The sequence below is a fragment of the Homo sapiens genome, chromosome X (genome assembly GCF_000001405.40).
Source record: "Homo sapiens chromosome X, GRCh38.p14 Primary Assembly".
Taxonomy (NCBI): Eukaryota; Metazoa; Chordata; class Mammalia; order Primates; family Hominidae; genus Homo; species Homo sapiens.
The window spans coordinates 15,922,894-15,938,594 of NC_000023.11; positions in this window are offsets into that span (position 1 = coordinate 15,922,894).

Here is a 15,701-nt window from a genome sequence, read left to right on the forward strand (position 1 = left end):
TGTTTTCTGCTCTAGCCCCAATGCCTAGCCCAGTGTCTGCACATAGTACTTGCTCAATAAATATTTAATAAATGAATGAATAAGTAAAAGGGTTACCTCTTTTTATCTTTTCTTATTGTTAAAATCATATTCTTGTTCTGTTCCAAATCTTGAATAACTGAGGCTTGGAATATCATGAGAGTTTGTTAACAAGTAAGCATTTCCCTTTTGGAGCATTTATTTTTGAAATGCAAATATTCCTAGGAATAACAGTTTAAAATTATATATACTTAATGTATACAACTTGATAATTTGATATACGTATACATTGTGAAATGATTACCACAATCAAGATAATTAACATACATACTACCTCGCATAGTTCCGTGTGTGTGTGTGTGTGTGTGTGTGTGTGTGTGTGTGTGGTGAGAACACTCCGGATCTACCCTGCTAGCAAATTTTAAGTGTACAATACAGTATTGTTACCTATAGTCACCATGCTATACATTAGATCTCCAGAACTTATTCATCTTGCACAACTGAAACTTTGTACCCCTCGTCCAACATCTCCACATATCCCTGTCCTCCCAGCTCCTGGTAATCACCATTCTCTGCTTCTATGAGTTTATGAGTTTGACTACTTTATATTCCACATATAAGTAAGATCATACAGTATTTGTCTTTCTGTGTCTGGCTTATTTCACTTAGCATAATACTCTCCAGGTCCATCCATCTTGTGGCAAATGCAGGGTTTTCTTCTTTTTAAAGGCTGAATAATGTTCTATTGAATGTGTATGCCACATTTTCTTTATCCATTCATCTACTAATGGACAGTTAGGTTAATTCCATATCTTGGCTTTTTATGAATAATGCTGTAAGGAACATAGGAGTACAGGTATCTCTTTGAGATCCTGATTTCAATTTTTTTGGATAAATACCCAGAAGTGGGATTGCTAGGTCATACGGCAGTTCTATTTTTAATTTTTTGAGGATTCTGTCTTCATACTATTTTCCATAATAGGTGTACCAATTTAACTTCCCACCAACAATGTGCCAGCATTTCCTTTTCTCCACATTCTCACCAGCATTTGTTATCCATTTTTTTAAAAATAAAAACCATCCTAACAGGTATGGGTGACATCTCATTGTGGTTTTGATATGCATTTTCCTGATTAGTGATGTTGAGCACTTTTTCATATACCTGTTGGCCATTTGCGTGTCTTCTTTGGAAAAATATCTATTTAGATCCTCTACCCATTTTTAAATTGGGTTCTATTTTTTGCTATTGAATTTTAAGAGTTCCTTATATATTTTAGATATTAACCCCTTATCAAATATGTGGCTTGCTAATATTTTCTCCTATTCCATAGGTTGCCTTTTCATTTTCATGATTATTTCTTTGCTGTGAAGAACCTTTTTAGTTTGATATAGTCCCAACTTGTTTATTTTTGCTTTTGTTTCCTGTGCTTTTTGTGTCATATCCAAAAAATTGCTGCCAAGATCAGTGTCAAGGAGCTTTTTATCCATGTTTTCTTCTAGAAGCTTTATGGTTTTAGGTCTTGCATTTAAGTCTTTAATCATTTTGAGTTGATTTTTGTGTATGGTATAAGATGAGGGTCCAATCTTATTCTTTTGCATGTGGGTATCCAGTTTTCCCAGCACCACTGATTGAAGAGACTATTTTCCCCCATTGTGTATTCTCGGCACTTTTGTCCAAGATTAGTTGACCATATATCCGTGAGTTTATTTCTGGGCTTTCTATTCTTTTCCACTGGTCTATGCCCGTACCACACTGGGCTTTTCTTTGCTTTTGATTACTGATTCAATCTCCTTACTCACAATCTGTTTTTGACATGATTTACTGAATATTTTAAACCCACTGTTGAGACTTACTGCTCAGAAAAAAAAAATCCTTTCAAAATATTACTTCCCATTTACAATGTACCTGATCACCCAAAAGTTCTGATAGAGATGCACAGCTCTGATAGAGATGTTGTTTTCATGCCTGCTAATACAACATCCATTCTGCAGCCCATGGATCAAGGAGTCATTTTGACTTTCAAGCCTTATTATTTAAGAAATACATTTCATAAGGCTATAGCTGCCATAGATAGTGAGTCCTCCGATGGATCTGGGCAAAGTCAATTGAAAATCTTCTGGAAAGGATTCATCATTCTAGATGCCATTAAGAACATTTGTGATTCATGGGAGAAGGTCAAAATATCAACATTAACAGGAATTGGAAGAAGTTGATTCCAATCCTTATAGATGACTTTGAGGGTTCAAGATTTCAGTGGAAGAAGTATTTGCAGATGTGGTAAAAATATCAAAAAAAACAAAACAACAACAACAACAAAAAGCTAGAATTAGAAGTGGAGTCTGAAGATATGACTGAATTGCTACAATCTCATGACAAAGCTTGAATGAGGAGTTGCTTCTTATGGATTAGCAAAGCAAGTGGTTTCTTGAGATAGAATCTACTCCTGGTGAAGGCACTGTGTGCATTGTTGAAATGACAATAAAAGATATAGAATATTCCATATTCTTAGATGATAAGGCAGTGGCAGGGTTTGAGAGGATTGACTCCAGTTGTGAAAGAAGTTCTACTGTGGGTAAAATGCTATCAAACAGCATCACAGGCTACAGAGAAATATTTTGTGAAAGGAAGAGTCAATCAATATGGCAAAGTTCATTGTTGTCTTATTTTAAGAAATTATCACAGCCATCTCTACCTTCAGCAACCACCATCCTGATCAGTCAGCAGCCATCAATGTGGAGGCAAGACCTTCCACCAGCAAAAATATTATAACTCGCTGGAGGCTCAGATGATTGCATTTTTAGCAATAAAGTATTTTATATTAAGGTATGTACTTATTTTTAGACATAATGCCATTGTACACTTAATAGACTATAGTATAGTATGAATGTAACTTTTATATGCACTGGAAAACCAAAACATTCCTGTGACTTGCTTTATTGTGATATTTGCTTTATTACAGTGGTCTGAAATCAAACCCTCAATATCTCTGAGGTATGCTTGTATTTCTTTCCTTCTGCTGACTTTGGGCTTAGTTTGTTCTTTTTTATTTATTTATTTATTTTTTAAAAAACATTCCTTGAGGTGATCTTTTTCTTCTTATTTTGGAAATCTTTCTTTTTTCTTTTTCTTTCTTTCTTTTTTTTTTTTTGAGTTGGAGTCTCGCTCTGTCACCCAGGCTGGAGTGCAGTGGCACAATCTCGGCTCACTGCAAGCTCCACTTCCCGGGTTCACGCCATTTTCCTGCCTCAGCCTCCCGAGTAGCTGGGACTACAGGCACCCACCACCACGCCTGGCTAATTTTTTTTTGTATTTTTAGTAGAGACGGGGTTTCACTCTGTTAGCCAGGATGGTCTCGATCTCCTGACCTCGTGATCTGCCCATCTCGGCCTCCCAAAGTGCTGGGATTGCAGGCATGAGCCACCGTGCCTGGTGTTTTTTTTTGTTTTTTGTTTTCTTTTTTCTTATGTAGATGTTGATCACTATAAACTTAGAACTGTTTTTGCTGCATCCCATAAATTTGTATGTTGTATTTCCATTTTTGTTTGTGTCAAGATATTTTTTGATTTGCCTTCTGATTTCTTCTCTGACCCATTGGTTGTTCGGGAATGTGTTGTTTAATTTCTCCTTATTTGCAAATTTTTCAGTTTTCTTCCAGCCATTGATTTCTAGTTTCATACCATTGTGGTTGAAAAGATATTTGACATGATTTTGACCTTTTTAAACTTATTGAGACTTCTTTTGTGGCCCAATATATAATCTCTTCTGGAGAATATTCCATGTGTGCTGGAGAAGATTGTGTATTCTGCTGCTGTTGGATAGGATGTTCTGTCTATGTCTGTCAGGTCCATTTGGTCTATAGTGTTGTTCAAGTCTGCCGTTTCTTTATTGATTTTCTGTCTGGATGATCTATCCAATGCAGAGTGGTGCTGAAGTCACCTGGGAGTAAAGTTGTGATGCTAAAGGGCTAATGGATAAGGTGAATGTGGCTAATGCTAAGGCTTGTCTCTCAACCTTGATTCTCATGGAGGGGACATGAAGAAGGGAACAGGACATCACAAAGACCTTTTAAAAATGGAATTAGGTTAACCTAAAGCTTTTCTGCTGATAGCTTGCTGATATTCATGGGAAGAAGGAAGGAGACTGGCTGAATGGGAGCAGAAAAGGAGGAAGGCTTAATCTCAAAGCCCAGACCACTGTGAAAGAAGGGAGGTTTGAGTGGAGGGGCCCTGAGCAACCTGAAGGGAAACTACAGGATAGTACACCCTACATGAAGAAGGGAAGGCCCGGCAGACAAACCTTGTCTACATGCCCTTTCTGTAGGGGGTATATGAATAGAGTTATGGTATCCTTCCAAAAAGGTCACAGAGGTTTCAAGGTGAAGAGTAATAGCATTCATTCATTCATTCAGCAAACATACAGTGACTGCCTTTATTATGTCAGGCACTCTTCTAGGTTCTTGAGATACAGGAGGGAAGAAAGCAGACAGAGATTCCTGCCCACCTGGAGGTTATATTCTGGTGGGGAAAGACAGACAATAAACAGAAGACACAATATAATGTGTTAAGAAGTGAAACTAGGCTGGGACATGGTAGTGTGCATGTCTGTAGTCCCAGCTATTCAGGAGGCTGAGCTGGGAGGATCGCTTGAACCCAGGAGTTCAAGGCCAGCAGCCTAGGCAATCTAGCAAAAGCTTGTCTTCTTGTCTCCAAAAAAAAAAAAAAAAAAAAAAACAGTGATACTAGCAGTAGAAAAACAAAACCAAACAAAACCATGCAACAGGATAAGGGGCACTGGATGTGGGAGGAAAAGGGGAGCCATTGGAGAATTTTGAGCAGAGAAAGCAACATAATCTTAGGTCATAGAAGGGTCTATGCCTCTTGCTGCTAGTGTGTATGTGTGGCAGGGACAGGTGTAGGCGGGAAGACATGCTGGGGGGCTATTATAGTTATTCAGGCAGGAGGTAAGGTGCTTGCACCAGGACGGTACCAGTGAAGTGGTGAAAGTTCAGATTCTGGATATATTTTGAAGATAAAGCTATCAGGGTTTCTTGATGATTGGATATGGGGTGACAGAAGACGAGAGGACTTGAGAAAGTGTCAAGATTTTTTGCCTGAGCAATTGGAAGCCAGGTGTTATCATTCCCTGAGATAGGGTAGACTGCTGATAGAGAAGGTTAGGGGGAAAAAGATTTGGGAATGTTAATTTGAGATGTCTGTTGCATGGAATTGTTGAAAGTAAGAGCCTGGAGTCTGGAGAGAAGTCTGAGCTGGATATATAATTGGGAGGGAGTTAAGAGCATGTAGGTAGAATTTAAAGCTTTGAGACAGAATGAGATCATTCAGGGTGTGACAGAGAAGAAGAGACAGCCAGCATTGATTCCAGGGAACGAAGAGGAACCATCCAAAGAGCACTGAGAAGATCCAACCAGTGAGATGGGAAAACCAATAGAGGGTAGGGTTCTGGAAACCGAGTGAAGACCATGTAGCAGGGAGAAGAGTTTATGGGTTGTGCCAAATGCTGCTGTTTGCTCACGGGAAGAGGAGATTTGGCCATAGATTCAGCAATGTAAAGATCACTAGTGCACTGTAGAGAGTGGGGTCAGTGGAATGAGGGGGTCAAGGGCATAAGTGAAGTGGATGTAAGGGAGAATGAGAGGAGAGGAATTGAAAATGGCAAGAATAGAGAACTATTTTGAGGAAAGACTTACCTTCCTAGAAAGCTATTTGGCAATACATTTAGAATAAATAAAGAAATAATTTTTATTTATTAAATGCAAATTATTAACATGGGAAAATTAAATACTATAATTTTTAATCAATATTCTTTAAACAGGATTTTCCCTGACACAGTAGTTCTAAGAAGTTGTTGTTGTTGTTGTTTTGAGACAGGGTCTCACTTTCTCGTCCAGGCTGGGGTGCAGTGGTGCCATCATGGCTCACTGCAGCCTTGACCTCCTGGGCTCAAGCGATCCTCCCACCTTGGCCTCCCAAAGTGTTGGGATTACAGGTGTGAGACCCCACATCCAGCCTGTTGTTGTTTTTAAGAAAAAAATCAGAGATTTGCATCAAAGTCTATATCTTTTGACACAAGGATGCACATCATGGCATCATTTATGATATGAAAAAAAATGGAGACAACCTGAATGTCCAATAGGAGTGAGGTTAAAATTAATCATGGTACTTCCAGTTTATAAAATAAGCCATTAAAATATTTTTTTTCAAAAACTATTGGTGAAATAGGTTAATGGTTACTAGGGATTTTAAGTGAAAAATAAAACAGGCTATAAAACTAAGTAACAAGGTTATCTTAATTACATGGACAATGTTGACAAAGAAATAATGTATGTGCCAGCTGTGTTTCTCCAGGCTTTTCCATTCTGCTTATACAAATAGAGTTAGAAGAACAAAACCAATGCACATACCATTGGCTATTCTTCCCACCCATGTCTGGGACGTCAGGTCACTGTAAAGGGCCTCTTGAGAGATTCCAGGAGTTCCTCAGGAACTGTCATTCCTGCTGGGTGCTGTCATATTCACTGTGCATTTTAAACAACTGGACCTGTAAGGTCCTGGAGCAGCAGGGTGGTCTGTGGTAGAGGGAGGTCTTTGGTCTCCTCTTGCTCTTGCGTTGCTCTGAGTTTGAGGGTGCTGAGCAGAGCTCTTTATTTGCAGAGTCCTACACAGTTTCAGGTTTTACAGTCCCCTGCTCTCAGTTGGGGGCTGAGCCAGGGGAAGAATCTGAGTGGTGGAGCCTGGGCCCTGGAACAAGACTATTCTGACCCTGCCAGTTACCGTCTGCCTGGACTTGGGCAAGTTATTTCCCCCACCCTTGCTGCCTTCATTTCCTCATCTAAAAATGGGAATAAATTGTTCCAGTTATCTGTTGCTGTGTAACAGACCACCACCTCGTGGCTTAAAACATTAATTTTGCTCATAAATCTGCCATTTGGGCCAGGGTCAGTGGGGACAGTTTGTCTTTGCTCTGCTTCACGTCAGCTGGGGTGGCTGGAAGGCTGGGGCTTGAATCATTCAAAGGCCCACTCACTCAGTTAACTGGCGGTTGATTCTGGGTGTCGGCTGGGATCTGAGCTGGGACAGTGACTGGATCTCCCACTCATGCCTTTCCATGTGGCTTGAGCTTCCTCAGAGCACGGTGGCTGGGTTTCCAAGGCAAGAGAGCTGGGTGAAAGCTGCATGCCAGGACCACCTGGGGGCTTTTAAAAAATGTCTGGCTTCCAACCCCAGAAATTCTGACTTCATTGGTCTGGGATGGATGCAGATATTGCTCCCCAGGTGGTTTTGTGTGGCCAACATTAAGAACCACTGCTCTCATGGAGAGCACATGAAACAGATTTGGCCTCCCAGCCGACTACTACAAGCAGTGAATTTTATTCATCATCTTTTGGGCTCAAGAGGTTCCAGTCATGTGATGTGATGTTCAAAGTGCTGCCAAAGAAATAAGATCAGGGAAATGCTCAAAACAGTAGGATAAATAAGTACAATTACTAGAGCTCCACAGCTACCCTCTGGCTGCTTCAGATTGATAAGTGGATGAACCTGGAGCCTGTGTATTTTGCCAGGGATATTCTGGCAAAGTGGAAAGGCTGAGCTGAAGAACTAGACTGAGACTCCTAGGTGGCCTGTACTTGAGGTGGCAGTTTGATGAGTCAGGTGCCAAGTAGAGTTTTCCCTGTCATTCCTGCAAATTGATTAATCTCTACATCTGAGAAAACCTCTGTGTTATTATTTTATCAATAGCTAAAAGGAGCAGATGAAGATGAATTTTAGCCAGGGCACATCCGAGGGGCTCTTAGTAGATACCACAAGGAATTAAGATCCTGTTACGTTTTAACCTGACACAAGATGTCACCATTGCTCCTGTGCTTTTAGCAATAACAGTATGAAGTCAAACAGCTGTAAGCGTTTGACTCCCCAGTTATACAAGTTGTTTGTTTTTCCACCTCACAGGGAGAAGAGTGAATAACGCTGTCAATGAGGCTTGTTAATCTGTAGCCCATTCCATCCATTCAAGTTAAAGTATTTATTGCATAAACACGTATTTGATTTTTCCCCCTTGTTCCAGCTATGGATCAAGATTAACATCTCTTTGTGAACACTTCACGTGGAGACTTTGGTGAAGGTGACTAAAACAAGATAAGCTGAAATTTTTACAGGATAACTGGAAAATTGCATATTGTGTTTTTGTTTGGCTTCACCGCTGCTGACAATGTTGAAATGATCTCCAGGTACCATGCTTAGTTTGGTGCCACAGTGGAAAAAAGGCATGGACATTAGTCCAGGTTACCAATGGTTAAAAAGCAGAGTGGGTAAAAACTCTTTGGAGGCCTAAAACATCATTGGCAATGTTGCCAAGATGGAGAAAACTGCGCTTACAGAATTTTTTTCACACACAGCACTGCACATGGTTGGAAGGAATACTTTGCAAAGTTGGTTGGAGGTGAGGAAGGCGTGAACTCAAAGTACAGCTGAGTGAAGTGTGGGATTTTAGGGTGGTGTTGCTTTACTGGGAACGTTAAGAGAGGCTGGGAGTACCAAGCACCCTTAGACTCTGTTGTTCCCCTACACTACCCCTACTCTTCTCTCTAGAAACACTGAACATCATCTACAGAATATCTGTTTGAGGAAGTTCCAAATTATTACTCTGCTGTGTGTGTGTGTGTTTTTCTTCTGTCACCCAGGCTGGAGTGCAGTGGCATGGTCATAGCTCACTGCAGCTTCCACCTCCCGGGCTCAATAGATTCCCCCACCTCAGCTTCCTGAGTAGCTGGGACTAAAGGCACATGCCACCACACCCAGCTAATTTTTGTATTTTTTGTAGAGACAGGGTTTTGCCATGCTGCCCAGGCTGGTCTCAAACTTCTGGGCTCAAGTGATACATCTGCCTCATCCTCTCAAACTGCTGGAATTACAGGCGTGCACTGTGGCTGGCTGTTGTATTTTTTTTTCTTTCTTTTTTTTCACCAAAGTATTAATATCAATTGACTGAAGCCTGTGGAATTACAGTGATAAATTTCTTTGTTTTCCAATTTTTCTATAATGAGTATATAACTAGAAAAAAACCCTTCAAAACCATATGATTCCAGAGATTTATAGTAAAGAGAGATGTTGCATGTTATTAGTTAAAAATATATTATTGTCATCTACTTCCTAGTCAACCCAGATTAAGATGTATCTAAAGCTCTGAATCAATCAGGGTCCTGGGAGGAGGTACATGACACATTCAAATTAGGTGGTTTGAAGAGAATTTAATAAAAGGACTGTTTCCAAAGGTGCGGGCAGAGTGTAGGGAAACTGTAAGGGAGAATGCAGTACCTGAGGGTAGAACAGTGGAGCTGTTACCACCATTAAGTCTGGAGAACAAGAGGAGAGAGAGCTTTGTGGACCACCCAATGGGTGTCGTAATCTGCATTGGAGAATTGTAGACAGCCTATGCTGCCAACACATGGAGGGAGCTGGCACATTAATGACCTGATCTAAATCAATCTTCTCTCTCACTCCAATCCCACCTATTAGCCAATTCAAGTAGGAGTATTAATGCCGTCCATAGGATTCGACTTCCCAGGACACTGAACAGAGAGGAGCTGGGGAAAGAGTAAATCTGAGAAGGAAATGGAAGATGTACAGCAATGCTTTTTTTTTTTTAGAAGCGCTACATTTTATTCAACTCTTACTTGAGTCAGAGATAAAATTGACCCCCATTACACATTCTTTTTGTAAGTAAGTAGGAATATAGTTTAAAGATATAGTTAAGGATATAGTTAAGGAGGCTGGTGGATACTCCAGAGCGGGGCCATGAGGTGTTGTGGTTCAAATAGTTCAAATTCCCACTCTGTTACTTACAGGCTAGGTGACCTTGAAAACATATTTAATTTACTTGAGGCTTTGTTTCTTTATCTGCAACTGGAGATAATAATACACATTCGATGGATTTATTTTGAGGATTAAATGTATATAATGTGTTTAACACACACCTCACACTTAGCAAGGGCTCAATAAATACATTTGTTAGTAAAGACTCAATATAAGCTTAGTTTAGTGGAAACAGTGCATACATAAATGGGGCTTGTCAATTGGTGGATCTCATTGTAAGGCGATTAAGAGGGCACCTGGATGTTCTTTGGGGATCCCCATATGTTAGTATCTTAGGTGTTTTCTCAGGGATCATTCTCTTATCTGGACAGTAAATGAGTGGCTGTTGATGTTCTCAGAGCCAAGTTGGGGAAGGAGCTGGGAGGATATCACTATTTGGGATGTAATAACTTCGAGTAAATTCCTCCATTTTCAGTTTAGCACCCCTGCCCTCAGCTACGGCTTTTGTTTTTAAAGCTTTCTGCCACTCAACCTTCAGAGGTACCTGGTGACTCCAATTCCTGAGCATCCCTGAGATCTTGCAGCCTGAACTGGCTTTTTCTTGCCACTGCTACCTGACTCCGAATCCTTGCAGAAACTTAGGTTTTAGCTTTCTTCTAAATCAGCTGCCACTTAGCCATCTGCTTCCCAGCTTTCAAAGTTTTATGGCCATTTCTCATTTGCTGCCATCTACTCTCTCATTCTTTTTGACCTTATGGCCTTCCTTTAAAAAAAATCCTCTTTCCTGCTACAATTAACCCAAGATCTTCTAATCCTCATTTTGTTTTGTATCTAAAACTGAATGGGTGCTCAGGAGAAACTACAAGTAGCTTAAGGTTATTCAGCTTCTCAGGGTCACTTTTCCCCAAGCACTCACCTGCCAGATATCTTAGGAAGCCCCATTTCCACCTTATAAACTTACTTTTCTTTGCTGTGTTGATTCTTCCTGAGACATTTGGCCCATTAAACCCAGTGCATTACATATTCCCCCATTTCACTTTAGAGTCCAGTTTTTTTTTTCTTTTATTTCTGAGAAGACTGGAGGTGTGCACATGATTAGGATTGAAATGAATGAATTTATACTCTATTTATAGAAATTTGGTGACATGTCTCCCAAGGTATAAATAGAACAATGGGTGTTGACAAGATTTTCTGTAACCGTGGATACCCTGCAATTATTCTTGAATCATACTCATTGTTTATCTGTATCTGAAATTTAACAAACAGGGCTCTTGCTACTAACTCAGAATTTTTCCAATGAAAACATGTCTCCCATAATTATTCTCTTCTCATGAGTCAGGCTGCATCTTTCAAGTTTAAATTCAGCTAATACATTTCAGTGGGTTGAATCAATCATTGTTCTTGGATAATGACTGAAAATTCATGATAAAAATAATAACAATGGTGATAACAATGATGACAGTGTTGTAATAAAAGCAAAATATTCCAACAGAGTAGTTTGAAAAGCACCTGGCACTAGATCATCTACAATGACATCTGCAATCCTTCCAGTTCATCCACTTGGATGCAACACTTGGGAGAATATCTGCAGAATGCATTGGTCCACCTAGCTTTACATGCTTCAGGATTGTTTTCAGTTTTTGTATTCCACAAAAGCTCTCTCCAGAGTAAGTAACACTATGTAACCAGTTCAGTGAATATTCCATTTGATATACTTAAACTGGTTGACCATTCAGCAATTCACTTTGTTTTACACTCCATTTCCTCATTTGTAATATAGTATGCCATAGACATTTCAAGTATAACTTAAAATTGTTTTTAAGCTTCTGAGTTTGTAGCAAAGCATATATTTTTCTTGGATGTTTTCTTTCTTCTGGGGTTCTGGCATTCTCTGAGTTAGCCATACTCCATTTATAATGATCCACTTTATTATAGCTAAAACCTGTCATATCATTACATCTCAAATAACCAAAATACATCTCTGAAAAATATTCTAGAAAGTTTTTCTGATGCCAGGAGCAGATTTGAATTATTCTTATTGTTCTAATACATGTTAAAGCAACTTGTTTTTATCCAGCTCTCTCTCTTCTTTTTATTAATCACATAGTTTTATAGAATATATGCATAATATTTAATATAAGTCAATATTCTAATAAAAATGAAGTCTTCAAAATGCTTAGGTTTCATTAAAAAATTAGTGTAAAACTACAGCCTTGGGGAGGTATTCCCTAAACTCCCTTCTGGATGCAGAATTACATTGGATTTGATTTCCATATGGTTTTATGGTTTCCCTGGAGAAAGTCAAATGCTTTGGGAACTGTGACAACAATGCAAGGAGTGAAGGGGAAGTTACCTCATTTCAAGGAATAGAAGGGAACAGTATTCACTGAGGAGGATTTCCATTGGGAATAGGGAGTGTTGGACCAATAGTTAAAGTACTTATGGGAAAAGGAAGTATAAAAATTAAATCTGGCACCACAAACTCTCTTGAAAACCAACCTCTAGGTTGGGATGGAACTCCGGGCATCTGTAAACGAGGGCATGTCTCTTGTCCTGTCCCACTTGGGAGTTCATATCTAGTTCTGACTAACACCTGCCATGAAGAAGCATTGCTCGGGTGAATGCTCCTATAATTCCTTGTACAACGTAGCATTGGCTTTCTTTGATAATCTTACCCCTAAAACATTTGCCTTTTCCATCAAAGAATAAAAGATAATGTTTCTGATCTTGGGTATTCTGTGTTCTGTATTAAAAAAATATCACTCTGGAAGATATCTAGCTTTAAATCATAGGCTAATGTGAAATTCATAAGAATTTTGTTATGATAGAAAAATATTAAATTGGACATAAACATTTAGAATAGCTACTTTATTCTCACTGGTATTCTCATGGCAGAAGATATACATTTTTATTCCTCCAAGGAAAATATGTAGTAACTTTACCCCAGAAGCCAGTCTCCATTCTAATTGTATTAGGCGTACTCTATCTGTAGCATTGTCATTCCATCAGACAATTTGCAATAAATTTTAATGATACATGCAAATACACCAATCTAATAGTCCATTATAAAAGATATGACTGACTGTTATCACTTTTTTCCAGCAATTTCTATGATTTCTCACGTCCTGCTGGTAAACAGTTCCAGAAGGCAGGGAACGCAATGTTTTCTTGTTCTTTGTTTTTTAACAGCAAGGCATATCAGAGTGAAAAGGGAAGACTAAAAAAAAAGTAGTATTGCTCTTTTCTTGTATCTGCATTAAAATTTTTATAGACTTTCATAACCTGGCATAATTCTGAGTTTTGATTTAAAAACCACCCACAAGTAGTTATGTGTAGATGTTTTTCTTGTTTCCCTTGCTTTGGCATTCTTTTTGATCCATTCCTCAGTGGTGCTATCTCTATACACCAAGTGCAGGAAAACATAGGGGAGTAGATAAAAACTAGGTAAAAAAAAATTTGAATGGGGTTTCTTCTTCTAAGAAATTCTAAGAAATCAATGGCTTCCCCCCCTTCCCTTCTGCCTCTATGCTATTGAGTCATCTTCCAACTGAGAAATCTTAGCTCTTTCTTGCTAGATATGGCTTGTGGTGCATAAATAACACTGTAGTTTGCGAGTCACTTATGATATCAAATTATAAGTTCCTGGGCAGGGTCCATGTCTCATTCATCTGTGCAGTCTCCAGACCTGGCCCAGTGTAGAACTCCGATTGAGCTCAATTTCTCAAATTGAATTCAATGAGCCAAACCAAAATTGCCCAAACTCTTATCACTACCTTTATCTCTTAATACCTGTTTTAACATATGGCAGGCCGGATGGCTCTATTGGCAGGAAGTAACAGATATCCACTCAAAGACATATGCACTGGGTGGAGGCTGGAGAACACATACAACAATCACCAAATTTCATACTGGTTCTGGTGTATCACACAGAAAGATCACACAGGGAAAAGTTCGGGATTGTATTGGTTAGGTCATAATAATAAAGGTAGTTTGGAAAGCACCTAACACTAGCTATACCACCTATTTATGGTCCTTTCAGTTCACCTAATTGAATGCAGCATTTGGGAAAATATCTGTGGAAAGCATTGATCCACATAACTACAGCAAAACAAGGGCTGTGTCATGTCTGCTTCCCTCTCCTCTGTCCAAAAACTGGCTCTTTTAGTAGTTCCATAAACATGGCAGAAGATAGTTGTTCCTAACATTTCTGAATTTACATCTCCTTTGTTTAAATGACCAGTGGAGGCTGATTTGTGATTTCGATCCCAGTTCCAAATTCTCAGAAGAGAGAAACGGTTCTGCTCAGCTTGGGTTACTTTCTATCCCTGGCCCAATATTTGAGGGCTAGGGAAGTGGATTAGGGAGTTATAAATATAACGCTCAGTGAGAGACCACTCTTGGCTTGGAGAGCAGTTCGAAGAGCAGGGTGCTAGTGGGCTGGGAAGATAGCCTAGAAGGGTACTAATAGAATGGAAAAAAAAAAAAAGAAAAGGAAAGGAAAATTTACTTTTGCTCACAGAGGAAAGAAAGTACAAAATGGGTAGGTATATGGATAAGGCAACCAATAAACAATATGTGCAAATTTATGGACAGCAATTAAACTGGATGAATGGCTCTCATAAATATTCATTCATCTGGCAACACAGGAAAAAATCTCATAAGTCTTTTAAAATTAAAACTTTTTAAGAAACAAGCCCAAAAAATGGCTGTGACAAAGAATACCTGTCCAGTATTTATTCTCCCCTTCCTCTATGAAAACAGTTGGGGTAGTTTCATGCACTGCTAAAATAATACGCTTCTGAGCCTCCCGTGTAGCAAGGTGTTGCCAAAGAGTTGTGTGCTTAAATCGTCTGCAAACAGTGGGACTTCCCAGGAAACTTTTTTTTTTTTAAAGGGACACATAACTAGCAATTTTTTTTTTTTGGTGCTTTCCACTCCTTATCCTTCATTCTGGTTGGAATACAGACATGATGGCTAGATTCTCAGCAGCCATTTTGGAACATGAGATATCCTTGAGGATGGTAGTCATACTCTAAGAATGAAGGAATATAAATATAGGAGGTGCCTGGGTCCAGGATGATACCACAGAGCTATCATACTATCACTTCACTGCTTAACTACAGACTTCTATGAGAGGAGAGTAAATCTCCATTTTGGTTAAACCATTTTAATTTCCAGTCTCCATGACTAGCAGCTGAATGTAAATCCTGACTACTTAAGAAGTCTCTGTTCAATAAGGAGCATTAGGTGATTGACTGATGGTGACTGATAAAAACGAGGTTCTTGACAAGACCCATCACTGAAACTAGTTTGTTCAGATCCTGACTAAGTTTCCATACTGGCTATTAAAACAAAATGATGCACAGATAAGATAAACAAATGCATGTCGCCTTTAAAAAAAACAATCTGTAGAGGTTATGAGAATGTGTCTTGGAGAACTGCGGGGAGCAAAATGGACTGATGGCCTCAGCTGCTGGGCTCTGGAATTCATCTCCATGTTTTAACTGAGACTTTGCCTCCCAAGGGCTGCTCCCAGCCAGTGTTGGAAGAATGTGGCAGGGACACGAAGGCAGGTTTGTTTTGGAGGGACCTGGGATTCCTCCGATGCCTGATTTTGGCTTGAGGACTCTCTGATGGCCTTGCCAAACCTTTGTTAGACTACATGGCACCCTGGGACACTCCACCCAGCCTTCTTTCCCTCTCTTCTTCACTCGGGGTCGGGCTTGTTGCATTGTGCTCTAATGACTCCTTAGCACTCCTGGCTTCACTTTCCATTTTCTCTCACAGGCATTTTGCTCAGTAAAATCATCACATGATGAATCCTATATTAGCATCTGCTTCTACAAGGACCT